The 27,241-nt window shown below is 38.7% G+C and overlaps 1 protein-coding gene and 1 long non-coding RNA gene across 5 annotated transcripts in view, besides 4 other annotated features; both read left to right on the top strand.

The window, feature by feature from the left end:
- The window catches only part of NR6A1 (nuclear receptor subfamily 6 group A member 1), a 254,037-nt gene that overhangs the window by 519 nt on the left and 226,277 nt on the right, over nt 1–27,241 (top strand). The window lies entirely within an intron of this gene.
- The window catches only part of LOC124900274 (uncharacterized), a 30,102-nt gene continuing 3,173 nt past the window's right edge, over nt 313–27,241 (top strand). The window contains exon 1 of the long non-coding RNA XR_007061773.1: nt 313–26,276. This is a non-coding gene — a long non-coding RNA (uncharacterized LOC124900274). The remainder of the gene's footprint in view (nt 26,277–27,241) is intronic.
- Nucleotides 533–782: a silencer, noted in NCBI's record as "silent region_20264". NCBI's record gives its function as "represses an Ori minimal core promoter by ATAC-STARR-seq in GM12878 lymphoblastoid cells {active_cell/tissue: GM12878}" and the evidence as "EXISTENCE:reporter gene assay evidence [ECO:0000049][PMID:35858748]".
- Nucleotides 9,157–9,711: an enhancer, noted in NCBI's record as "OCT4-NANOG hESC enhancer chr9:127523361-127523915 (GRCh37/hg19 assembly coordinates)". NCBI's record gives its function as "activates a minimal SCP1, AML or CMV promoter by ChIP-STARR-seq in primed H9 embryonic stem cells {active_cell/tissue: H9 hESC(primed)}" and the evidence as "EXISTENCE:reporter gene assay evidence [ECO:0000049][PMID:30033119]".
- Nucleotides 9,712–10,267: an enhancer, noted in NCBI's record as "OCT4-NANOG hESC enhancer chr9:127522805-127523360 (GRCh37/hg19 assembly coordinates)". NCBI's record gives its function as "activates a minimal SCP1, AML or CMV promoter by ChIP-STARR-seq in naive and primed H9 embryonic stem cells {active_cell/tissue: H9 hESC(naive and primed)}" and the evidence as "EXISTENCE:reporter gene assay evidence [ECO:0000049][PMID:30033119]".
- Nucleotides 25,170–25,670: an enhancer, noted in NCBI's record as "H3K27ac hESC enhancer chr9:127507402-127507902 (GRCh37/hg19 assembly coordinates)". NCBI's record gives its function as "activates a minimal SCP1, AML or CMV promoter by ChIP-STARR-seq in primed H9 embryonic stem cells {active_cell/tissue: H9 hESC(primed)}" and the evidence as "EXISTENCE:reporter gene assay evidence [ECO:0000049][PMID:30033119]".

Here is a 27,241-nt window from a genome sequence, read left to right as displayed (position 1 = left end):
ACCCTCCCCCTGCCCGGGTCCCTGGGCACCGAGCTTCATTTCCCCCTCCCCCCGTCCCCTCTGCACAGGCTTCCCCTCCCCCCGTCCCCTCAGCACCAATCCTCCCTCCTCCCCCCGGGTCCCCTCCCCCTGTCTTCCCAGCACCGAACCTTCCCCTCCCCCCGGGCTCCTCAGGTTGGAAGTCCCCACCGCGGTCCGTCAGTGGGGGCATCCCCTCACTCGGGTTCCCTTAACGCAGAGCCTCTCTTTTCCCCTACAGGGGTTCCTCCTCCCACCGAGGACGCTCCCTTCTTGCCCTGTTGACCCGACTCCACAGCACCCTTGTACCGCTCAGCTTTCTAGAGCGTTTTCCTCTTCTGCAGCCTCGAGCGTTCTTCCTTGAATACTACGAGCCCCCCACCTCTGCCGAACCCCCGTTCGCTAGACATCCCCCAGTCGTTTCCTTTTTCGGACCCCTTCGCGCCTCCTGCTTCCCCTGCGCCTCACCTTCCTCAACGCCCCGCGCGCTCTGGCCGGTCTCCGCCCCTGCTCAGCTCCCCTCTCCGCCAGGCAACGGCTTTCCCTGGCCGAGGGCTCCAGCCCGCCCCGGGGCCCCGGACACCTGCCTCCTCCCGGCTTCTGCCCGGCAGGTCCCGGTCCCCACCTCTTAGTCTCAGTTCTCCTCTTTCTTGTCCCGATCCGGGACCTTGGGAGCTGAGAATCCCTCACCTGGCCCGGCCCTTCCTACCGCTCGTCCCTCGCCCCCTCGCCCGGGCCGGGTCCTCAGGTTCCTCGGGGCTTCCTCGCCCTCCTCCCCTTCGCTCCCTCCCCCTGCGGGGTGTTTTATTTGTATCTGTTTGATATTTTCCTCCTCGGTGTTTGCCGCGGAATGTTTTTATTGGTAACGTGTTAGGAGCTTTTGTGAGGTCGTAAAAGGTGAACTTTTGAACTTGGAAAGCGCCCTGGAGCAATTAGCGCAGGCGATCGCCCCGGGAGGCCTGCATTACAAAGGGTGCTCGCACCGGCCGGCAAACGCTCCGGCGGCAAACCCGATTTATTTATTTGCCCTGTTTTCCACCTTTCACATCTCCTCATTTCCGAATAAAGGGAGGCTCTCAGAGATCAGTGCCTCCTCCCCTCGCTGCGCCATAAACTCGCAGTTCTCTGAGAGATCTAGGACCGAACAGTGTCTAACAAGTAACAGATTTCAAATTGAATGCAAACACCCGGGACAGTTAGGAGGCACTAAAAATTAACTGCTTCACCAAGAGGTTTCTCAATCAGGACAGTGACCTGGCAGGTGTGAGGAAAGTAACCTGAAAATAGGTCAGTTAGGCGCTCAATTGTTGAATGAGTGAGTAGCTACAGACGGTGGAAATCTTGGGTTGGATCCGTGCCTTCATACGTTTATTAACTAGTCAAACATTTTGTTAGTTCAGGAGATCTGGTGTTTTTTACAAAAGGGAAAAGTCCGTGTAGAAGAGAGCTTGGTTAACTTCACTTGATGTTGCTGATCTTAAAAATAATGATGTGTTTTCAGAGCTCTTTTTTTTTTTTTTTTAATTTGTGTATGATGTATGATGGCTAGGTGGCTGGCCGTTCCGTGGGCTGTCGTTGGCAACTAATTTCTGAATGTGAACATGTTTGAGATCAATAAAATTCCGTGTCACAAAGGGGGAAGCTGGAATCCAGTTAGGGTAGAAGGAGACAGTATAATAGGAACAAAGGATTTCTTTAATGCCTTTGACTTTTTAAGCTAGTTTGTGTGGAGATTTGGTTTGGTATTAATTTGTGAGTGTTGTAAATCCTGATCTAAATTTTCCCATGCTGATTTTTTTGAATCCAAACCCCAACCTATCTTATATCCCATATTAGCGTGTATATTTCTGTGATGCCTTCCTATGTGTGAATACTTCCTGTACCCACCTGTGCATATAATGTAGATGACGGATTTTACTGCAATTCAATATTTACTGCAATATTGCTTTCAATTCTACTTGAGAATAATAGTGTTGTAAGAGAAACCTAAGAACTGCATTTGTTATTAATTATTCATTAGTACATTTTAAAGAACTCAATGGTAATTTTAACTCTTAATCAGATTTCCCATTCATAGTCTCATTTCCTCAATTGGTCAGAACCATTTGAAAGAATGTTATCGAGCAATCCATTTAGACTAAGGTGGCTTTAAAGCTTTACATTAGTCTAAGTTAGTGGTACAGATGTTTTCTTTTTGCTGAAAATACAATGGGAACTTTTGGCAGCTTGATGGGCTTAAAATACACTAGACGCTAGACCGTTGTGGGATATTTTTCAGTGTAAAAACTAGCATTGTGCAATGTTTTACAATTTATGTTCATTAGCACTTATGAAGTTAACATGCTCACAGAAGAATTGCCAAAAATTTTTTTAAGTTTGCCTATGGAACAATGGGCACATTTTTTCTTTTTTGCTTCCTAATTAATATTTTTCTCCAAAAATATATGAAACTGCTTGTTCTGAGTAGAAAAGAAATGAATTATCTGTTTTTTACTCCTAGTGACTGATTTCTATTTTATATGAACTATTTTCAAGAGACAACTATACAGATAGGGGGTCTTTTGGTCTCTGTCATGAAGAAATAAACTGGAGGTGGCATTTTAGAAATGTTTTCCTACCGGAAACACCATTGATGCTGAATTTACAGTCCTTTGAATGGTTTTTATTCTGTCAGAACAGAGTTTCTTTCTAGCCTTTTGATGCACCATCATCCTTCCAGGAATTCCCTGTGCTGACTGCGCTATTTTCAGTTGTTGCTTGTAGGTTTTCATAACAAACATGAACTCATTTAGTTGTAATAGAGGACTGCTCCCTTTTGGGATTTCAAAGGAAGATGAATGATTTGAGGAAGTGTATGCTGAATATTGCATTTGTTCATTTTAAGAGAATGAGGGAATATACTTTTAAATATTTAAAGCAAAGGAAGGCAAAGGAAGGTTATAAGCCATTATAAGTAATTAAAAGCATATTTTATGTAATTACACTTTAGAGGAAATGGGGAGAAGTTCACTGAATAGCACGGTGCCTTTTTCTTCTGCTATAACCATGCCGTCCAAATGTTTATGCTGGAAAATAAATTGGCAAATATTTCCCATGATGATTTAACTTTTCAGTTCTGTGATTTAAAAAATTAAGTTAATTCTGAGTTGCCCCAGAATTTTTTCCTACTCCCATTAGAAAAAAACAAAACCAAAAACATGCTGTAGTACTGTTGTTTCTTAGTACATACAGCACGCAGGTTTTTCTTTTTTTTTTTTTTTTCTTTTTTTGTAGCTTCTGTGACCTCCAAAGACGGCTAGGGTAGAAGAAAGGCGACAGTGAGCAAATTCACTGGTGATTTTGCATAGCTGAGGTGGGAGATGACCACATTTACAGTCTCCAGTGTACAAGCCACCAAATCATTCAGCAGTTCTGATTCATGTAACCAAAATATGATGACATGATTCCTAATCTATAATTCATTCTGACTTCCGTAGCAAAAAGGTGTATGCAAGGCACATGTGTTAGTACATGAAAGGGAGTTGGATGGGGAGCTAATGAAAAAAATAACTGCTGGTAAATTTCCAAAAATATGTCCAAATCATGCATTTCCATATTTTATTTAGAATTTTCTGGTTTCTCATTCCCTACTTTTTTCCTAGGGTTTTGGGGCAAAGGTGGAAAATAGAGTTTAGATTAAAATACCACATTTTAGAATAGTAGAGGATGGTAGGTAGAAATGCCAACTGTTGCTGTAACATTGGTAGAGGAAGTTTCTTATACCACCCCTAGTGTTTGTTGTGCAAGTTGGCTTTAAATTGCTAATGATGCTTGCATGTTTTGGAGCTTGGAGCTGTGTTTCATTTGTGTTAGTGGGAAGATTTACCACTTCATTTTTATAATTGGGTAGATATTATTTATTGGTTATGTTGAAAAATTGGTTTGTTAATGAATTGTGTTCAGATGGCAACTTCTAGCTTAAGAATTGCATAAAGCCAGGATAGATTCTCCCACATTAGGAGACTTCATTGTCAGCAAATTCATCGAGATCTTTGGGGCTGGTCATAATCTTTGCTTCTTAAGTTTATTTTTGATTTATAGCCAAATTAATGACACTTTTCTGTTCAGTATTTTTCCATGCATAATAATTAAGTTGAAAGTGACACTTGAGAAGATGTGTTTTAGAGTAAATTTTACATTGTTGGGTCAGTCTGTTTTTTTTAAGTAGGACAGTAAAAGTGCCTTATTTCATGTGTAAAAACAGATTCTAGTCATGTGGGAAAAAGGTCAGAATTAGAAAAATCAAAGTTCTGAATCAACAGATAAACACGCTTGTATTTCAATAAAGAATAAATGTGCTTGAAACAGTTTTTAACAGAAGGTAGCTATCTAATCTGCCCACATAAGTAGTGATCTGATATACCCAACTCTTTGTAATACTTTGAGAGCATTTCCAAAACCAATTAAGTTGTGAAGGAAAATGTTTTTCACACTTCTGCATTAAGATCAACCTTAACTTTTTAATTAAAGTTTTTTCCTGGCTCAGGTAATTTCTTAAGGGTTTATGGATGCCTTCGATAACTAGGGTTCAGAAATACCAGAATTATTAAAAATGAGCAAGAAAGTGGTTTGGTACTGAGCAGGTAATTCTTTCTTGGGTATTGAGCTTTTTAGAGCTTAAGTTTCAGATTCAGCTGAGCTTAAATTTAAAAAACGTCTCTAGATGTAACTTTGATATACAGTATTTCTAGAATCCAGCCCAGTCTTTTGTTCATTGATTGTTTTCCAACATGGCTTGTCTTTAAGAAAAAGACAAGGGTGTTAGACTGTAACACCCTTAGTAAGTAATAGAAAATCAGAAGAAAACCACTGTGAGATGTCTAACCTGTTTTTCAGTATGGCGGAGAAATAGCCACAGGAAAAAGAGGAGAGCATCATTTGAAAGAATAAAACATTTCCTACGGTATTTCGTTCTTCATTCTTTGTTACCTGCTATTAAACAGCAGCCTTTGTAGAAAAGCTTCTCAAAAAAACCCAGAGTTTTTTCAGTGGTTACAGTTATTTAAATAAGACTTTACTAGTGTAACCCGGTAATTCTAATTAACAGTGATTTAGTTTGGGAGCGGACCAGGATTTCCTCAGCCGGCTGCTGGGGAGCTGAATTGCTTTTTTCCCCACCCCCAGCTGCACCAAATCTTTTGATCCCCAAGCTACAGTGGTTGTCATTTGAGAAAGCAAACTGAGAGAAAATACGTTGTGAAAATAGCCTACTTTGAAACTTCATTTGCATTTTGGAATTTTTGTTCTTAAAAAAATTATAGGAATAATTGAACTCCCAAATTTTTATCTTGACAGAAGCAAACTGGCCAAATTCTTACGTCTAAATAGAAAATTCCTGGATTTCCTAAAATTTTTTTGCTTTAAAAATTTCGGGGGCTGTTTTAATATTGACAGTCACGATTTCAAAAGAGAAATGATTCTAATTATAAATTCACAGGAGGGCTTCAAGTGTTCTGAGTTTCTTTAAGGAGTGTGTGTTTGGGACAAATAAAGTTATGCAATGGAGTAGTTTTCATTCAGGGTAGTTTGTGGTTTCTCCATCAGCATTATATAATCTCAAATACAGAATCACGGATTCTTACGTCTTATACTAAATAAACCATACAATTCGTTACATTAAGAATTAACTTTAAAAAAGTGTCTTTAAATGATGAGGCCTTTGGATTCTAATTGTAAACTCTACACCCTTCAATTTGTTTACACCAGAGAAGCTATTCAAGCATAAACCACAGATGGCAGTAGCAGTATATTTTTCTGTTTCTGGACTGATTCTTGCCTTTAAGTTGGTGTCAGTTCTATGGGCCCTGCTGATAAGTCAGCTGGCAGGTGTAATGTTTCTAAAACCAATTCCCTGGGCAGCAACATGTAATGTATTCAGGGAAACAAATCCAGGCATTTGATTTGAAGATATACTCTGTGGGTGGTTTGACCCAGAATAGTGACTTTGCACTCACTGCCCAAGTGAGAAATTATTTTAAAAATTTGGTAATAGTGATTAAGGGAGTTGTTAGAGTAATAGCTATAGCACATTGGAATTGTAGTGGTATTATTAGCAGAGAATGTATCTAACAGATATTTGCTTGAACAACTATTTGCATTGTAAACAATTTATAACTCATTAAAAATATACTCAAGATTCATATTTTGAGAGAGAAATGCACAACTAAATTCTTCATGTGAAAAAGATGGATAATCTTCCCAGCTTTTTATTTCCAGTTCCTCCTTACATTTCATAGAATCATGGATTTTTAGATCTGTGTATAAGAGCATTTTGGAGGTCTAAGAGTGGGTTCTGCTTGCTCTTCCAACCCATCATTGTAATGCCCAAATTTCTGTATTCTCTATTTTCTTCTAAAACACTGATGAAAAAAAGAGATGATTGATTAGATTTCCTGTGATATTTTATCTATGATGTTTCCTTCAGGTGTAATCCCATAGTTTAGAGCTCAGGAAACATTTTAGTAACAAATCTACCGCAAAATGAAGCATAGACTGAATCAGTGAAGGGAATAGCTTAACCAGATAGTTTTTTCTTTTCTTTTTTTTTTTTTTGTGATGGAGTCTCACTCTGTTGCCCAGGCTGGAGTGCAGCGGTGCGATCTCTGCTCACTGCAACCTCAGCTTCCTGGGTTCAAGCGATTCTCCTGCCTCAGCCTCCTGAGTAGCTGGGATTACAGGCATCCACCACCATGCCCAGCTAATTTTTGTGTTTTTAGTAGAGACAGGGTTTCACCATGTTGGCCAGGCTGGTTTCGAACTCCTGACCTCAAGTGATCCACGTGCCTCAGTCTCCCAAAGTACTGGGATTACAGACATGAGCCACCGCGCCTGGCAGTTTTCATTTTTAAAACTAGTTTTATTAATTCAAGTCCCCATTTCAATCATGAAGCTGTATGAAGCTGTATCACCTTGGAAGAATTAAAAATTCAGTCTTTTAATTCCTTATGCTCCACTGGATCAGATGCAATGTTCTTTTTATTATGGCTAATTCCAGTTTATCTAATTTAGTCTTTCTGTCACGAAAGAAAAGCTAGAAGACAGAACACTTCTGTGTAGCCTTATGTACTTTATCCCCCTTCCTCATCCCTTGCTTTTTAAAATTTATAAACAAATAATGAAGTAGTACTCAATTGTATTTTCTGTCATTCTTTGACCATTCATTACTATTGTTTGTTTCAAACTTAATCTCTTCCCATTTATTGAGTCCTTAAATTTATTTATGGTTGCATCCAAACCAGTGATTTTCAAAGTGTGGTCTGCAAACCTCTGGGGGTCCTTGAGACCCTTTCAGGATGTTCTTAAATATATTTTAATCGTAATGCTAAGACATCATTTGCCTTTTTTACTGTATTGACATTTACACTGATTTTGCAGAAACAATAGTGAGTAAAAACTGTTGGTCCCTTACCAGAAATCAAGGCACAAACTGTATTAGTAGTCATTATATTCTTCACTTCCATGCACTTGTATTTTTCAAAAAGACTTTTCCACTTAATGTCATCCTTGATGAAGCAGTAAAAATGATGATTAAATCTTGACCCTTGAGTACATGTACTTTTGATATTCTGTGTGACAAAATGGAAAAGTACATGCCAAGCACTTCTGGTGCAAACTAAAATGGTTGTTTTAAGACAAAGTGCTTGTGTGATTATGTTGTGATCTGAGCCAGCTACTTTTGTTCATGGAATACTTGAAATAATTAAACTATACTTGATTCAGCCTTGGGCATTTGGCAGACTATTTTTTTCTTAAACGAACAGTGAGTCTGTCATATCAAGGAAAACTGACAGTATTGGTTGCCAGTAAATAAAATTTGAGCTTTCAAGCAACAATTAGTTTTGGAAAACTTGTACTTGCCACTAAGAGCTTGACAGCTTCCCAATGATTAATGTCTTCTGATGAGATGGATGATGAAATAAATATGATTTTCGATGTTATGAAATGTGTCAACATTTTGAAAATCTGAATATCTCAGTAATTCAGTATTTTCCAAAAGATCTATGTGTGATATTACAGGATCCTACACAGCTAAGAGATCTGTTCAAAATGCCAGATTGATCAATGGATTTTAATGTAACGGATTACACATAGTTCATTGATATGGTTTTAAACTCACACTGAACTAACCTTTAAGAAAGTACCACTTAATTGAGTTTTGGTGTAGTATCAAAGAAGACTATCCACAATTACTTTAAAAAGCAAATACTTCTTCCTTTTCCGATTATAAATCTGTGGGGCCAGATTTTCTGCCTGTGCTTCAACAACAACAAAAAATCACAATATACTGAATGGGTAAACAGATAGGAGATCTAGCTGCTAGGATTAAGCCAGATATTAAGGAGATTAGCAAAATGTAAAACAATGCCACTCTTCTAATTTTTATGTTTTATTGGACAATTTTATTTTTCATAAAAATGTTATTTGTACTAACGTGAATTTATTAAATTTAAATGGATTATCAAATATTTTAAATTTTTCATAGGTTTATTTTCCAGTATGATAAATATCAATAGACAAAGCCACATAAATATCAACCCTTTAGGGTCCTTCATAATTTTTAAGAGTGTAAAAGGGATCCTGAAGAACACTCAGGCATAAATATATGAGAACTCCAGGTCTAAATGAACTAACGAAATGTGTAAAGAAGATGGTGACTTCACCAGATACCATTAGTAGTACTTTTTTTACTTTGGAGTTTTCTTACTTCCCTCGATAATTGAGCTACTTTTATTGAAAATGAGTTCATATCATTTTAAGTTTTCTTTGCTTGGGAATACATGAAATGTGTGGTAGTGCACTCTCACTGAGTTCTCTGATAAAGCTTTTGTTACCTGCTACATGAAACCTGTTGCTTAACTGATAATTGTCTTGTGGCAGCAGTTTTTCAAGAGAACCAGTTGCCTCACCAAGGGTAGACTTACATTTGTGGAAATAAATCTGACAACAGAATTTCTTAAGAGTCATTGCTATAGAATAATGAACAATTTATAAGAGATAAAGATCCTATCGTGCTTTTTAAAACTTCCATCAAGAATAGTTTGCTTATTTGCTTTCCTTAGACATGTTTGGCTTCACTGAGTCTTAGAGTTGTGATTTCGGTAATGCAGTTTTGTAAATTGGTTTGCTTTTAACCTGGTTTTCACTGAGATGGTAATAAAGTCTGTATAGGAGAGGCATCTCTTCCTCTGGTCGAAGAATATCCTTTCCTAGTGTGAGTAACATTTTAGTGTAAGTCAATTACTGTGTTGTTAAAGAGTTAGAAATTTACTCCTTAGGGTAGTTACTAGGTAGAACTCATCCTGTAGTGGGCTTGCTGGCTGAAGAAATGTCACATAACAATGTGAATAACAAATAAGGAGTTACCGCATCAGAACTCAAGGTGAAGCTTGGATAGGTGTTGAAAGATCAGTGAGATAATTATTTGGGCTTCCTTCCTAAGAGCTCTAATTATCTTGATATTCTTGGAGTTTCATGTAATGTACCTTTGAAAACATTTTTGTGTTTTGTGGGGATTGCAGCTTAGTTATAAGAAAATACAAGCCTTTCTTTTATTTCTTAATGTTTGGATTTGAAGATTCATGTGAAATCTTCAATTGCATTCTTCAGTTGAGTTAAATTGCTTTAATTACGAAACCTAATAACTGAGACAGATTTGGCTTTTTTCTTCCATATTCTTTCTGTACCCTTGAAGTCTAACCTGTCAGGAGACTTCCTCTCTCTATTCTTGGAATCCTTCCCCCAAGATGCCTTTTTAGCAGGATAATAAACCACCTGGGGGAAGCCCCCCATTGACATGCATTTAGAGGGCTTTGTTTTTTGGAAATGGCAATAGTAGTCCCATCCAGGGAGGAAGGATTTTGGTTAGATGGTGTGAGGCAAAGAGCAGGGACTCTGGAGTGTGGCCTAACAAAGATCACAGCTATGCGACTTTGTCACTTGACTTCTCTGAACTTTAGTGTTCTCATTTAACATTAATAGCTAACATTTACATAGTGTTTATAATCTAAACACCTTATGTATATTTATCGTCTTAACTCTGAGGTAGGTGTTCTGTTATCCCCATCTTACAGGAGAAAACTGAGACCCACAGAGTTTAAACCTCCAGATTTCGCAGCTAGTAACAGCATTAATAATTTGTTTCATAGATTTAACATCCCCTCTTCTCCAATATACTCTGACATTTCTGAAATTGACTGTAGGGTTATAAGGATTAGAGACAAGGTCTGTAAATTGCCAAGCATAGTATCTGCCTAAAAGCAAAAACCTGAGAATCTGGGGCATTTATCTATGTTGGAGAGGCCCAGAATTCAACTTTTATTGATTAGAGAGCCAAAAAGACCCACTCTTAGAATTGCAAGTGACTTTTTTCTTTTCTCTCATGCTGGCTTTTATTTTATTTTTATTTTTATTTATTTATTTTTTTTTAGTTGGAGTCTCACTCTGTCTCCCAGGCTGGAGTGCAGTGGCGAGATCTTGGCTCACTGCAGCCTCCGCCTCCCTGGTTTAAGTGATTCTCCTGCTTCAGCCCCTGGAGCAGCTGGGATTACAGGTGCCCGCCACCATGCCTGACTAATTTTTGTGTTTTTAGTAGAGACGAGATTTCACCATGTTGGCCAGGCTGGTCTCGAACTTGTGATCTCAGGTGATCTGCCTGCCTCGGCATCCCACCTCATGGTGGTTGTTTTTTTTTTTTTTTGAGATGGAGTCTAGCTCTGTCACCCAGGTTGGAGTGCAGTGGTGCGATCTTGGCTCAGTGCAACCTCTACCTCCTGGGTTCAAGCAATTTTTCTGCCTCAGCCTCCTGAGTAGCTGGGATTATAGGTGCCCACCATCGCACCCAGCTAATTTTTGTATTTTTAGTAGAGACAGGGTGTCACTGTGTTGGCCAGGCTGGTCTCGAACTCCTGATCTCATGATCCACCCGCCTTGGCCTCCCAAAGTGCTGGGATTAACAACTGTGAGCCACAGCCCCTGGCCTCATGTTGGTTTTAATAAGCCTTTGGCCAGAAAACAATTTTGCCAAATCAGGGACAATCTTCGGTGAACCCAAGGGGTGCTAAGGAATGAAGGCGTTTTGAGTTACTCAAGGCAGGAGTACAATGTCTTTTATCTGTATCCTAAGCACTGAGAATTGGTGTTCCATGAATATTGAATGAATGAAAGAGGCAAGTCAGGAATATGAGCCTTTTGCTTATCTCAGAGTCCCTTGCTGGTAGTCAGAGTAAGTCTACAAAATATAAGGGAAAGGAATGTGCTTTTCAGCTACTTGAGGAAATTGGGGCCAATATCTAAGTCAAGCAGTGTGTTTAAGCTAAATCCAAGGTTTGATAGGCCCTCCTGGAACTAGAATGTAGTTTCTGTTTGGAAACATGGTTCTCCTGTAATTTAAAGTGACTAGATATCCCAGATTAAGACGAGATGGCCAATAAACTAGTGGCTGTTTGCTTGACTGTATTCGGGAATGCAGTTTAGGAAAAGGTGGCCTTTGTCCCATGTACCTTTTTAAAATTCTGTCTCACAAAAGAAATATAAGAGCTAGGTGTCCAAAATTTATAAAATACAGAAGGTGATTTCCTAATGAAAAGAGAGATAGTGAGAAAGATGTAAAAGAGGATAGGCAGTGTGGGTTAATAGATTATGTTAGCAAAGTAGTTTGAATAGGAAAAGACTTTAGAGAGGAGCCCAAACATTGAGGAGTTATGAGGCCCAGGAGATACTTTATGCCTAGGATCTGATTCTAGCTCTGTCTCAAATGCATGTCTCTGTGGGTCCACCTATAAAAATGGAGGAGCTAAATTAGATAATCCCTGAAAGGATTTTCCAGGTTTATGATGGAATGAATTGGGCAAAACAGGAAGTTGCAATTTAGAAAAGTTCTGCCTAAAGCAAATAGCTGTGGTACTGACTGCCCACATTCTCTGGGATGATTTTGATGTCAGATACTGTTCAATCATCCCTCTGAGAATATTTACATTTACCAAACTGTTTCCCTGTTCTGCTTTAGAACCCTTGGCTGCTTTAAAGTCTGTGAGATCCCATAATTTATCTGTAAATTTCATTCTTTGAGTCTGCCTTATAGAAATGTTTACAGTTACAGTTCTGATGTTATGATAATTTGTAATGTAAATTTGAAATAAATTATGGAGTATTTTTGTTGTTTAAACAAGATCACTTTTTTCATTTATAACCCCTCCATGCCACACTTTCTCTTTTTTGAGTACAGTTTCATTTGCTGAGTCAAACTCATAGTTAATTTTAGAGTTTTTCCTCATTCCTTGTAATGGGATATTTATCTGCAAAACTCATTCAGCATTGAGAAGAGTGCTGTCTTCCTAAGATTAAATGCGCTTCATTTGAGAACGTTGATTCATTAAGGGAAATTGCAAAACAGAAGGGAAACTTCCTTAAATGCTGCTGGTCTGTAAAAAGGGAACCCAGCAGGAAAGGGGAGAGGTGCATGGGGGAGGGGTGAAGTGAAGAGTGTAGCAGGGTAGCTGCAGTTGAAATATTCATCAATCATTTTACTGGCACCAGGAAACCAATCAGCCTTTTAGGGAGAGAACTTAATCAATCACCTAATGTGGGAAAATACAATTGCTTTCCCACAAAAAAATATTCCCTTTCTTGGTGACAGATCGAATCTGAGAGATACTTTGGTTCCCTGGAATTCAGAACTGACTGCAAGCAGTTGCTGAAAGTACTGCTGTGAAGAAGTGCATTTAACATTTGGAGATAAAATTTCCTATCTGCTGCGAGCCTTTTCAAAATATTTCAAAATAAGTTTGCTTTTCGTACAGTGTGCCCATCAAAAAATAAATACTGAGCAAGCCGAAGTGTGTGAAACACTGTAAATTTATTCTCCAAAGCTAGTTTCAGAGCATAGATAAGGACTCCTGGCTGGAGAATACCCGATGTTTCAAATGCCTTGTTTGGAAAGCAGGGTTAAAGCGTTGTCTAAGGAACATACCCTGGGAAACACAGTTGGAAGTGCTTGCATATAAATAAAAGCAGGAAAGATACAGCTGCATCGTATATTTAGGTTTTAAATACTTGTGATTTCTGAGGGTCTGTCTGTGCTTGAATTGCCTGTGGCCCTTAGGTCCTTTGGTTCTTAAGATGTGAGCTGCTTAAGAATCCAGTGTTTTTAAAATTAATGCATGGTTACTGAAGAGAATATGGAAAACGAAGGGAAAATAACCTATAATCCTACCACTAAGCAACTTTCATTAACATTTTCTTCTAGACCTCAAATCCAAGGTTTTTTTTTTTTTTTTGCATTTTTTTAGTCATACAGTATATACTATTACGTTTTCTGCTTTTTGTTTAATTTTAAATGTTTTTTCTCCTGTTATAAACTTCACTCATTGAACATCAAGTTATTTGAAACTTTCGATAGCTGTATGACAGCCCATTGTTTTTCATTGCTGGCCATTTAGATAGGTTTTATTTTTTCAGTGTTATAATAGTACTTCTCACACCATCTTGTGCTTGCTTTTATCTTGGCTTATTTTGGGGGATAATTTTGAGAAGTGTGTGTCTATCTCAATGTACCCTCACCAACAACTACTTTAATTTACACTGAGATACCTTGCATACCAACATCCAGGGCTGCCAGCAGTACTTATTTATTTTAATAAATGCCTGGTGCTTGAGATAGAATTTGAGATACTGTGGGTAGGCTCTTTGCTTTTTATCATTTTGGGGTGAGAGAGAGTCATTCCCCCCCTACCCGCCCTTTTTTTTTCTTTTTGATTCTGGCACTAGAATGTTGCCCTGCACCCTCATCCTAGCATCTCCAGTCTGGTCAGAGCTGTGCTTAAGGACCCTTCTGAGGCTACCTTCGAATTCTTATAGATATGGGTGAATGGGTGGCAGAGACACCCTAGAGCCTTCTCTGGTTGCCTCTAAAAATCTCGGGATGATAAGTTGATGTGCGTGTGTCTTCTAATACAATTATATCATCTCCCACAGTCTTTAATGTGTCTTGAGACCTACCTATACCTGAGTGTGAATAGAAATTAAGTACATGCAGAGAGAATTTAAACTTGCATTCCTTTAGAAATCTGCATGGGTTCCTCAGTGGCTAGTTTCTATCCTGATCCTGTGCAGTGTTTGATGGTGAAAGAATCTAAATAAATCTTATGCTAATTTGAAGGGCATTCACAGTTTTTAACAGGTCTGATTTCAGAATGGAAATAGGAACATTTTGGGAATCCAGCTATCTATACATTTTTTTATTAAAGCATAAGTCATATTTGCTGAAATTAAAATTAAGTAGTCTTTAGACATTGTTAAAGTTTATGTTGATTGAAAGTAAACATGAACATTTGAAGATCATTTGCTTTGCTGCTTTGTGCTCACCACTGGTGATCAGAAACTTGTAATTTGCCAAGATAGGTTTTATAATGCTCTTTAATAAGAAAATGAATAAGCCAGCTGCTCTTTCTCTCAACTATAGCGGGTACAAACCTCCTCAATTCCTGGTTAGTAATTAAAAGCCTTGAGATGACCTTGAATCTAACTGAACTACAAAAGCTGTCTTGAGTTAAATTTATAGCTTTTGTCAATTTCAAAAGAATGGTATTCTATTTGCTAAAACATTAAGCGTAGCCTTGGGTGTACATTGAAGATCAGAAATAATTAATAAGAGGTACTACTAAAGTGCAAAGGGAAGCCTAATATGGGCTACAAAAATAATTAAGTTTGTCATCTATTTGTTGATCATTTAAAATATGTACTTGAAAAGATTTAAGAGAGGGTGGCATTTTTCAAAGTGTCATTTTGTGCTATTCAGATTTGCTGAAAAGATCTATCTTTTCCCCATCTTAACATCAAAGAGGTTTTTGAACCCAGTGGGGAATCAGAACAAATATTTAACACTTTTTTAAAAGTAACAGTTTAATTGATTCTTAAAATATTTTACACAGTGGGAATTTTCTTAGTGAAAGTTTCTGATTATACTCAGTCAGTGTAAAAGTAAAAATATTAATGTTTTAAAAATGCTTTATATGTGAGCCACATCTTAAGTTCTATGAATAAAGAACTTTTCTGCTTACCAAAAGGGTAGAATATATTCGCAGCTGTTTAGAGAGCCTTGAAGTACTATCTTATTGATAGAAAGGACCTTGACATTGTTGCTATAAGAAAAGTTAGGTTTTATGTGTCAGTAGGTCAGATAAGACATGTCTTCCAGCATCATAAATGTGATAAATCCCTGAAGAGTCCAGCAGTAAAGCAGATAGTTTGAGCAAGCGGTAAGGTGTTACATAGATCTTGCAGATTTTAGGATTATTTTAGTTTTTACATTTATTTAATGAGACTAACCTAGTCACTCTTAGATCACAATAATGAAATTACATGCCAGTGTGCTTGTGAATGAAGCCAACATAATGAACGGAAAAAGTTGTTAATACACAGCAGGGATTGCCAGTCTGAGAGTCTCTAATGGAAGTTCTCAAGCAATTTCAGTTCTGATTTGATCTGAAATCGTGTGAGCAATAAGGTTGTTCAGGGTAAATAAAATGAGATCTCTGAAATACTCTTTTGCCTGAAATATTTCCACGGTAATGTGACTCAACCTCTGAAAAGCAGATCTTTGCAGAAAGGAGTTACTGTAGTAATGGTAGACAAACTTCAGCAGTGGGAGGGCAGGGGTTAAAAATTATTTCAGCAAATTGGTAGGATGTAGTGATAACTAGGTGCATTAGAGCCTGAGCTTTAACGTTAGACTTGGGTTTAAATCCTGTCTATTCTTGTGATTTTTTAATGTATTTTTTTGACAGTTGAGTGGAAGGGGGGTGGAGATACTGGGTGGAGGGTGGTAAAAGGATGTGGAATCACCACATTGATTATTGGAGAATGAAATGAGGTAGTTTATGGAAAACCTGGAATGTAGCTGTATTACTTTACAAAAGTTTCTGAGTTAATTTCCTTATCTGTAAGTAATGTTAATATCATCGATCTCATAGGTACAGCAGACCAGTTTACCACAATCCAAGTCATTGAAAACCAGTTTCCCAGATGTTCAGTTTACCCAGTATTCCATTCAATAAAAGACAGTTTGCTGAATCTAATCTGTAGACCTTACAGAACCCGTTGTTCATCTCGTTTTTCTTAAATGCTCCCCACCATTTTTTTCCTTTTTGTTTTTCCCGTTTCCTATACATCATTTCTCCCCCATGCCCTGCAGCCCAGACAAGGATGTATATTTCTACCAGCAGAGGTCCTCTCTGCTTCAGCTCTCTCCAGCTGCAGTGTAGAGACAAATTGAACATCTTAAAAATGCTGGTATTCCAACGGTCAGTTCTGACTTGGCAGAAATCCTTAAAAGGTAATTAACTGTCTCATCAATATGAATTTTTATAAACTGTCCAAATATTTAAAACAAATTTTTGACAAATTTAGAGAATTGGCTATTTGGAGATTTGGCAATTTGGTCAGTTGACTTGGAATTATCTCATATAGGTTTGGAAAAATTTGGCAATATATGTAAAATAAAGTGCCTATTACTCACAATGGTGGGACTGTAGTAAGTACTCAGTTGGTGTTCCTTTTCTTGAAGCATTCCTACTCTGAGTTGGAACTCCTCCTCCCAAGGTTTTTCTCCCCTGTGGGCTCTAGTTTGACAATATCAGGTGATAAAGGCTGGTTATGAACCACCTAGTGACTTTCTTTTCCATTACAGAGTTGTTGAATTTGCCCAAATGAAATACTTTATTTTGGCTTGGACTTGTTATAAAATGGTCCTTCCTTCCTTGGTGCCCTTTAGGGTTTGACTTCTCAGTGATTTAAGATATGTGCCCCTTTTCTGTAGCACTTTATTCCCAGTCTTGCTTGTAAGTAGAATTATGAGCCTTAGGAGAGTAGACTGCAGCTTTATCAGGGTAAAAGCAAGGCTAGGTCCCTGGAGGTTCTTAGTGGGAAGTATTAGAACCAGAGCAAATGCTCCTGTCTCTGATATACAGGAAGCCCAGCATCCCCATCCCCTACCCAAAGTCTCTCTCTGGAGGTCTCTAAAAAGGTTTTCTGGTAATATCCTTAAAAGGGAAGGGAACAAGTAGTTGTTGAACACTCAGCACTAGGCACAGAGCTAAACTAACTCATGTAATCCTTTCCATAACTTTTCTTTGGATAGGTGGTGATATTCCCTTATTATAGATGAGTAAACTGAGGCTTAGAGTTGAAAATAACCTTCTACTAACCACTACTCTGCTAAACCAGTATTTTTAAATCTTCAGTTTTTCCTGTATCACCACATGATTTTTGTCATTTTCTAATATATTGCTTATTTAATTTTTTAAATATTGAATAGTTAACATTCTGCAACCCAACATTTATTTTAAAATGAATTTTTTTATTAGCTTAAATGAAAAATTATTTGCCACAAGTAGAAAGTAACAATGAAAAAAATTTAATGAAAATAGAATTGTGTTAAATTCTAAATGCTATTGTCTGCCAAGGTCTCTGACCAGGCCTTTGATAGAGAGATTAGTAAGCACTAGAGAGGCACTAGAAAAACTAACACCACATTTTTCTTCTGATGTAATCAGAAGGATTGAAAGAGAGTGGAAAAGGTACTAACAGCTTTGGAATGTTTTATGATGCCTTCTCTTTGTACCATTTAAAATCATCCAGTGGTTTCCTTGCTTTGGGAAACACTGACATAGGTGATGGTGTGTACATTTTACAAATGAGTAAACTGAGTCTTAGGGAAGAGGAAATTTGTTCGAAGTTGAACCAGTCCCACAGGCCTTACTGCCTAGGTACCCCCTCCTTACTTTTCTTTCTCTCCTTTCATCCTTCCTCTTGCCTCCCTGTCCCTGCCTCTCCTCTTTTCTTCCTCATCCTCTAAGAGAATTCAGCTAACTCCAGAGTAGTGTAGAGATTTTTAGATGTGTTTTTCTGATCTTTTTTTTTTTTTAATTTAACTGCTGTGAGATAGGATTTCATCTTTAAAAACTTAGGTCTTTCTTAAAACATTGTGTTTCTTAGTGCTTAGTGAATTTCAGAAGTTGGGTGTAAAATATATAGTAATTTTGTAGGTACTTGTACCCCTACATAAATGATTTATTGAAATAACTGTAAAGACATCATAAACATTCCCTTGCCTCCTCATTAGATAATGTTGGAAAAGTGAGCTTGAGAAAAGATATTGCCAGCAGTTTTTGAAACAGATGTTATCTCAAGTGCATTAAAGGACAATTTCTTTGACTTTTATTGCGTGTTGTAGTTTTGTAATTTATATTAATAATTATGTTTAATTACCATTTTATTGTGTTCTATTGGAAACAATAGGTAGCTGATGTAACTTTACCATAATTGAAGCCTAGATTATAATTTGATTTTTAAAAATTTTATCCTTTTAAAAAAATTGATTGTTTAATTTTAATTTGATTTTATCTTTAAAACTTTTTGAATAAGAAAAAAACCTATTGTCATTTTTTCTTATTTAATTTTTTTGTTTGTTTGAGACAGAGTCTTGCTCTGTTGCCCAGGCTGGAGTGCAGTGGCGTGATCTTGGCTCATTGTAACCTCTGCCTCCTGGGTTTAAGCCATTCTCATGCTTCAGGAGCCCGAGTAGCCAGGATTACAGGTGCATGCCACCATGCACAGCTAATTTTTGTATTTTTAGTAGAGACAGGGTTTCACCATTTTGGCCAGGCTGGTCTTGAGCTCCTGACCAAGTGATCCGCCCACCCCGGGCTCCCAAAGTGTTGGGATTATAGGCGTGAGCCATCCTGCCCTTCTGTTTTATTTAATTTTGTATTGTGACAATAGCTTCTTCAAATACAAAAGGAGGAATTTTGTAATCCTGTTGTTTAAAAAGTTTGTTCCACTAGTTACTAAAAGAAAAAAATTCAGTTCCGAATTATTTTAAATAGCATCCTTAAAATTCTTCATGGAAACACTTTGTACTTTGAAAGAAATTGAGGATTTTTTAAAGAAATTCCAGTTATGGTAATTTTCCTATTTCTAATTTATTGTACTTTGTCTATGCTAGCCATATCTCTGAACATTTACTGTGGATTCTTGATAAATCATCTTGTGAAACCCGTTTCTAATAGATTTTTAATCCCAGGCACCAGACTCATGTAGTGTATGGCACACCCCACTTGGTTTAATTGATATTTTAGTAAAATTTTTCTGATACTTGGGTATAAGCTAGAATATATAATTCTTGCTCGGTGACACTTTGATTCCAGGGTCTCAATCCAGAGCTTAGCTCAGGGTAAGGAGGTTTGTCAGCATGCCTTGGTATGAAGTAATGAAGTAAGGAGGACTTCCAGCCAGGAGTTTCGAATGTTATTGTCAAGCTCATATGTGCTCTATCTAGAAGAATTTTTACCATTTAAATTGTAAATCACACACACAAAAACTTAATTTTTCTCTCGTTCTTAGAGGATATGTTGAACTGTTTATGTTCTTGTTAGAAAGTTTTGGTCTCAACTGATTTCTTCGCTGAGTTGTGATTTAACAATTATATTGATGTGCAGTATTAGCCTAATTAGTACTTGGGTGTGACTAGTGTCTTTCTCTGAAAATTTTGTCGTTAATGGTTTGCCTTTCCTTTTTTCTTGAGCTGAAATTTATTGTGTGCCCACTGTGTGATAATTACATGCAGCAACCTTATAAGGAGAGTAACATTATTTTCATTTTGCAGATGGGAGGAACAACTTAAGTGACTTGGCCCCCTAAGTGGGAGAGATGGGACTCAGACCCAAATGTGTCTGATCCAGGGCTTACACTCTTGGAATCTGAGCACTAGCTTCTGGTAGAGGATACAAAGGGCCATTTGTACCTTAAGGAGTCTAGTATTTAGGAGACTGTGTTTTAATGGTAGATGCAAGAATTAAAGCCAGACTTCAATTTTAGCCGTGGAGACAAGTATGGTCTTTGAAAATTGCTTGTTTAAAAATCTTGACTTTTTTTTTCCTTAACTGGTCATGATTTTTATTTATTTATTTATTTATTTTTTTGAGACGGAGTTTCGCTCTGTCACCCAGGCTGGAGTGCAGTGGCGCGATCTTGGCTCACTGCAACCTCCGCCTCCTGGGTTCACGCCATTCTCCTGCCTCAGCCTCCCGAGTAGCTGGGACTACAGGCGCCCACCACCACGCCCGGCTAATTTTTTGTATTTTTAGTAGAGACGGGGTTTCACCATATTGGCCAGGCTGGTCTCGTTCTCCTGACCTCGTGATCCGCCTGCCTCGGCCTCCCAAAGGGCTGGGATTACAGGCGTGAGCCACCGCGCCTGGCCTATTTATTTATTTTTTAAAGATGCCTTTATGTATTTCTAAGGAGAAGAGCAAAGTCCAAAGCCAATTTGTGATGTTGGAGAAAGATGCTGTTGTGAGGTTTAGGACAAATCCTTGCCAATGGGGAGACAAGGAAGCAAAGAGACCCTTGCTTAAAAATGCTGGCCCTGGGCATGTGACATGGAAGCAGAACTCCATGTGGAATGGGAGAGACTTTTGATCCTTAATGCCTTTTAGGAAACAAAGCAAAATAGCATTAGGCTCTTAAATACTATTTGATACAAGATGAAGAGTGAATAATATAAACTAGAAACATGAGAGCCTTAACATGGTAGGGACTGAAAGTAACCAATGTGTCTATACAGTCTCAATTTCCAGGTCAGCTTGTATTAAAGTTTGCCTTGCTGACCTTACAAATACGTTCTTCTCATTTGATATCCTTAGTATTTACTTTTTGAATAGTATGGTCACTGTGACTTATTCAGGAATGTGAGGCATATTCAGAGAGAAGATTGTTAAACTCAGAACAGCTGTATACCAAATAATCATCTCTTACTCTGGAAGTCCAGTTGAGCTGTGGGGAAGTAGGGATGCAATTCTAACCTTATGTTTGTGCTAATGTATGTTAATGCTAGAAGAGGAACTTCTAAGCCTGTGGAACTTATAATAGGTATCAAAAACTGTAAAGAAACATGCGTTATGTAAGAGTGTGATTTTAGCGGGGCAGGGTATACTAGTATCTGTAGTGCTTTAACAAGCTGGTGTGATGGTGTGCATCTATAGTTCCAGCTACTGGGAAGGCTGAGGCAGGAGGATTGCTTGAGTCAGAAGTTCGAGGCTGGAGTGCATTATGATTGTTCCTGTGAATGGCCACTGCACTACAGCCTGGGCAACATAGCGAGACCTGTCTCTTAAAAAAAAAATACCGTATTTATTTTATTGATTGGGTGATCTGAGATCTGAATGGTTGACCCAAAGGTCAATTTTCACATGAATACTGCAACCTCATGAAGAAGCTGACCTCTCAGTAATAGCACTGGGTGATGACTTAGTAAAAGGTCCTATTCCCTAAGTGTGTGCAGAATGGAACACTTTCCCTAAAGCTGCTGCAAAGTGGTTTAGATTTTTTAAATTAAGAAGTCTTTTCTGAGTCTGTTTATATTTGTGTTTTGGAGGGTTTCCAATTATAATAATGGGTAACTCTTTTTTTTTTTTTTTGAAATGGAGTTTCACTCTTGTTGCCCAGGTTGGAGTGCAATGGTGCGATTTTGGCTCACTGCAACCTCCGCCTCTCGGGTTCAAGTGATTCTCCTGCCTCGGCCTCCTTAGTAGCTGGGATTACAGACATGCGCCACTACACTCGGCTAATTTTGTATTTTTAGTAGAGATGGAGTTTCTCCATGTTGGTCAGGCTGGTCTCAAACTCCCTACTTCAGGTGATCCGCCCGCCTTGGCCTCCCAAAGTGCTGGGGTTACAGGCGTGAGCCACCGCACCTGGCCAATAATAGGTAACTCTTACTGAACATTTGCTATATGCTAGGTACTGTTTTGAGTACTTATATTTATTTCATTTAATACTTACAACAGCCCTGTTAAGTTCTTTTTTTTTTTTTTTTGAGACAGAGTCTCGCTCTGTCGCCCAGGCTAGAGTGCAGTGGCGCGATCTCAGCTCACTGCAAGCTCCACCTCCCGGGTTCATGCCATTCTCCTGCCTCAGCCTCCCGAATAGCTGGGACTACAGGCGCCTGCCACCGCGCCTGGCTAATTTTTTTTTTTGTATTTTTAATAGAGACGGGGTTTCACCGTGTTAGCCAGGATGGTCTCGATCTCCTGACCTCGTGATCTGCCTGCCTCGGCCTCCCAAAGTGCTGGGATTACAGGCTTGAGCCACTGCGCCCGGCTTAAGTTAAGTTCTTTTGTTCCCATTTTTAGATCGGGGAAATGCCTATGGGACCACAATTAGTGTTTAAATCACAGGAATCCTACAAATGTTATTCCCTTTAAACAATTTCTCCTTTCTGTAAAATGGGGGCTACAGTGGGATGGAAGAGATTAGGAATGATTTATAGTTTATCCTTCTAGTTTTTTTTAAAAAATCTAAGAATCTTGATAACCCCTTAAGGGTTCCTCAAGTGTTAGCATTGTATGATTTGTACCCCCTATTATACACAACTGCAACTTTTGATAAACTCATGGACTTTAGAGCTGAAAAATGATGCTAAGAAAATTGATCTTTCACTGAGGAGAAAATCTAAGTACAGAGGGAGTAGATCACTTAGCCTTATACAAATGGCTTATTAATACTGAAGCAAGGCATCTTGCCTAGTATATCACTTTATTGATATCTTAATATTAGAAACTTGCTTTAACATCAAAGTTGGTATATTTGCATCTCTGTATAAAGAGAGTTTGCAAATAGGAATTTAGGTGTTATCCTTTTCAAGCTTTGGGGTGTTTCGAGGAAATAAGGTTGCAAAAAGTAGCTTTTCAATTGTTGGATTTGTTTATTTCTGTAATTTGGTGCTATTAATGTATGCTAAAAAGTTGAAAAGGGGAATCAAACAGGATTTTTGAGTGGATTAGGAAATTAAATTCCAGGAAGAGAGAGGAGCAGTCATAATAGTCTAGGATTATAGGGTGATTAGATGCCTTGAGCTTGATCTAGGGATATTTGAGAGAGAATGAAAATGTCCTGGTGATTGACTATATTATTCGAGGGGACTGTTGGGAAGGGTGGTAAAGTGGGAGCCCAGGAGGAGTCTTTGGGGATCTCTGGCTTGGGGGATGAGAGTTGGTGGTACCTGGAACCTGAGTGAAGAACACAGGAGAAAGAGGATTCAAAGAGAAAATAATAGGTTCAGTTTGACATGTTGAAATTGATGGAGCCTATGGGTTATTTATCCTGGTAGACATTGACAATAGACATTTGGATAGATGGGTCTGTGGTTCAGGAGAAGAGTCTCATCCAGAATTGAAAGTTTGGGGGAGAGGGGAATCATCAGTTGGGAAGTGTAAGTGAAAGTGTATGTGGATGAGACCATCCAACCTAGGATGAGAAGGTTGTGTGTGTGCTGGGATAGGCCTTTCTTGCCTGTGAGGACATTTAGTAAAGAACATGTCAGGCTGGACGTGGTGGCACATGATTGTAGTCCCAGCTACTCGAGAGGCTGAGGCGGGTTGGGTTGATCCCTTGAGCCTGGGAGGTCGAGGCTGCAGTGAGCCATAATTATGCCATTGCACTGTAGCCTAGGTGACTAAGTGAAACTCTGTCTCAAAAAAAAAAAAAAAAAAAAGTCAGACAAGGTCTGTATAATCATCTGTAAGGATGTGACTGCTTCTAGGGGAAATAGTTGCCAGCAGTGGAAGGACATCCAAAAGATATGTATGGCTGAGTATTATTGATAATGTGTCTGTATTTACATTCTTTCTTTCCTCCCTTACTAGTCTGATTCAAGTGCCATTTTGTCATTAACTTTTTTCTAGTTTTCCCTAAGAAGAAATAAATAGTGTGACCACTGCTGTTAATGTCTCCATTAGGGCATTTACTTCAAAAGTCCTTGTATCCAGTCAGTTTTCTATTTTCTATGCTAGATTTTAAGAATCTAGGGGTAGCCAGCTTTACTCACCTATTTTTCCAATGCAGTCTGGGATAGCAGCCTATACATGGAAAACACTAGGTAAATATTTGTTGAATTTGATTTTAGAATATAGGAAAGTTTAGCATCTAAAAAAAAGGAGTTTTTTCTCCCTTAGTCCTATTTTGTAGAGTATCTTTTGTATTTATGTTGTGCTATAAATACTTGGTTGTTGCTCTTCTGTCTTAACTCACCAGGTTTGAATAGTTTTTAAAAATTTCTTTTGGAATTATTGTTTTTTTTTCTTTTTCCTTTTTTTAGACGGAGTCTCGCTCTGTTGCCCAGGCTGGAGTGCAGTAGGCAATCTTGGCTCACTGCAACCTTTGCCTCCCGGGTTCAAGTGATTCTCCTGTCTCAGCCTACCAGGTAGCTGGGATTATAGGTGCCCACCACCATGCCCAGCTAAGTTTTGTATTTTTAGTAGAGATGGGGTTTCACCGTGGTGACCAGGCTGGTCTTGAACTCCTGACCTCAGGTGATCCACCTACCTGGGCCTCCCAAAGTGCTGGGATTACAGGTGTGAGCCACTGTGCCTGGCACAGAATTATTCATAGGTATGATTAACTAGCTTTGCTTCAGATTTGAAAGATCCTGGGATGAAAGGTTAAAGATGTATTTCTTTGTTGCCACACAATGGATTTCTGAAGCTGGGACGTGGGAGATAGTACTGAGCTTTAAGCATTCATGACTAGTATGTAAGAAAGATTAGTGCCCAGAATTGTGTTTCTAATAAGATAGTAATTTAAAAGTCATTTAGAGAATGGTAGTTTTTTTTTTCCCCTTCAGTTGAAGCTGTTGATTGTAGACAGTTTAGCCAAATCATTTTGTTTTTAGGATTTTTTTTTTTTTTTTTTTTTTGAGACAGAGTCTGGCTCTGTCGCCCAGGCTGGAGTGCAGTGGCGCGATCTTGGCTTACTGCAACCTCTGCCTCCCGGATTCAAGCAGTTCTCCCTGCCTCAGCCTCTTGAGTAGGCAGGGAGAATTGCACAGGCATGCACCACCATGCCTGGCAATTTTTTGTATTTTTTAGTAGAGATGGAGTTTCCTGTGTTGGCCAGGCTGATCTTGAACTCCTGACTTCAGGTGATCTGCCCGCCTTAGCCTCCCAAAGCTAGGATTACAGATGTGAGCCACCGCACCCGGCCTGTTCTTAGGATTTTTTTTTTTTTTTTTTAAGACAGAGTTTCACTCTTGTTGCCCAGGCTGGAGTGCCATGGCACGATCTTGGCTCACTGCAACCTCTGCCTCCCGGGTTCAAGCGATTCTCCTGCCTCAGCCTCCCAAGTAGCTGGGACTACAGGCATGCGCCACCATGCCCGGCTAATTTTGTATTTTTAGTAAAGACGGGGTTTGTCCATGTTGGGCAGGCTGGTCTCAAACTCCCGACCTCAGGTGATCTGCCCGCCTCAGCCTCCCAAAGTGCTGGGATTACAGGCGTGAGCCGCTGTGCCCTGCCAGGATTTTTTTAATGTATGTTTCTGTTTATAAAAACAATATATTTTAATCAGAAAAGTAGAATGGAGGAAGAAAAATTAGTTATACTAAGAGATAATCACTAAGAGAAAATGGACCAAAGTGTTTTTTTTTTCATGTATATATGTATTGGAATATACCTGAGCTCATTCCAAGAATACAGTTTTACATTGTATTTTTAATATGGTATTTGCCCTTTGTAAACTCTTGGAAAACATTTATAGTGTTCGCAAAATATTCCATTGAATAAGTGTACATAATTTAATCATTTTCCTGTGTTTGAATTTTTAGATGGCCTCGAGTTTTGTACTATTTTCTGTATTTCTGATTCTTAGGATAGATTCCTAAGATTGATCCAGAGGGATAAACATTTTCTAGGCCCTCATGCATCCATCTTCCCTTTTTATATGGAGATTTTAAAGAAAATAAGGAAAAAGGTACATTCTGCCACATGTGGGACATCTCTTTGGTGGTATCTGCACCTTACTAATGGATTTCCTGAGCAGAGCTGGCTACTTCTCTTCCATCAAACCATCTGTTGAGGATGGTGTGGGGCACTTTCTGAAATGACTTTGAAAGCTCTCTGACCATGTTCAAACAAACTCCTTGATCAGTAAGACTTTAGTCAGTCTTCACAATGACAATGAACAAATAAAAACATCTTCACTTCCCTCAGTAGCTGCTTCTGACAGGCATCTTGGATTTTTCAGGAGGTGACTTGTAAATGGGCTCAAGTAAGGTGTGGTATTCTTCTTGGACGTTGAGGTCCTGCTGTTATGGGAGCATCAGGGTTGCTCTTTGAGATTATGCTAAGTTCCCATCCATCCGGCTGTTGCAGAACATGCACTGCGCAAAGGTAGGGTTTTATTAGTCAAGATGCTTTCAATAGAAGTTCTCTTGTTTTGACTTTTGTGGCTCTTTCCATGTAATGGAGTACAATGATCTGTTTAGATCTATAAAATGGAGACAATAGTAGCTATTTTTCAGTAAGAATTCATGTAAAGTGTCAAGCTGATGCCTGGTTTATAGTAATAGATTCAATAAATGGCAACTGACAGATTATTGTATACATTTTCTTATATTTTTCTGTATTAAGTATTTTGCATTTTGAAATTTCTTTTCTTTTCTTTTTTTGTTTGAGACAAGGTCTTGCTCTGTCACTCAGGCTGGAGTGCAGTGATCCTGGCTCACTGCGGCCTCAACCTCCCAGGCTCAAGTGGTCCTCCCACCTCAGCCTCCCAAGTAGCTGGGACTATAGGTGCATGCCACCACGCCCAGCTAATTGAAAAAGACAGACATATTTTTGTTGTTGTTGTAGAGGTCTCACTATATTGCCCAGGCTGGTTTTCAATTCCTGAGCTCAAGGGATCCTCCTGCCTTGGCCTCCCAGAGTTCTGAGATTACAGGCGTGAGCCACTGTGCCTGGCCTTGAAATTTCTTAACCTCCAAGACAAATGAAGGATTATCAACAGTCCCTTTTGTTCCTCCAGAGAACCAAAAATTGCAAATGAAAAATGCCAGAGAATCATCAGTACGTGCAGTTTTCTGAGAAATGCCTGTGCTGTAATTCCATAGAAACACTAATGACCTCTGACTCATCAGACTGAATTGCCTTCCTAAACCGTTTTCACCTTTTGATTCTATAGCTACAGCCTTGAAAGCTGTGTACTGTCTTTATTTTTTAAAAATGTTTTAAAATTGAAATGTCATAATCTTGGGCTGGCTTTTCTGCCTTCAGTCTGGTTTCAAGGCTGTAATTGCAAAGCTAGAAGCCGGAAAAACTATATGAAAGGTGATGTAGGTTGATCAGATGGAAGTTAT

This window comes from Homo sapiens, chromosome 9 (genome assembly GCF_000001405.40).
Source record: "Homo sapiens chromosome 9, GRCh38.p14 Primary Assembly".
Classification (NCBI taxonomy): Eukaryota; Metazoa; Chordata; class Mammalia; order Primates; family Hominidae; genus Homo; species Homo sapiens.
This window is presented reverse-complemented; position numbering and strand designations above follow the sequence as displayed.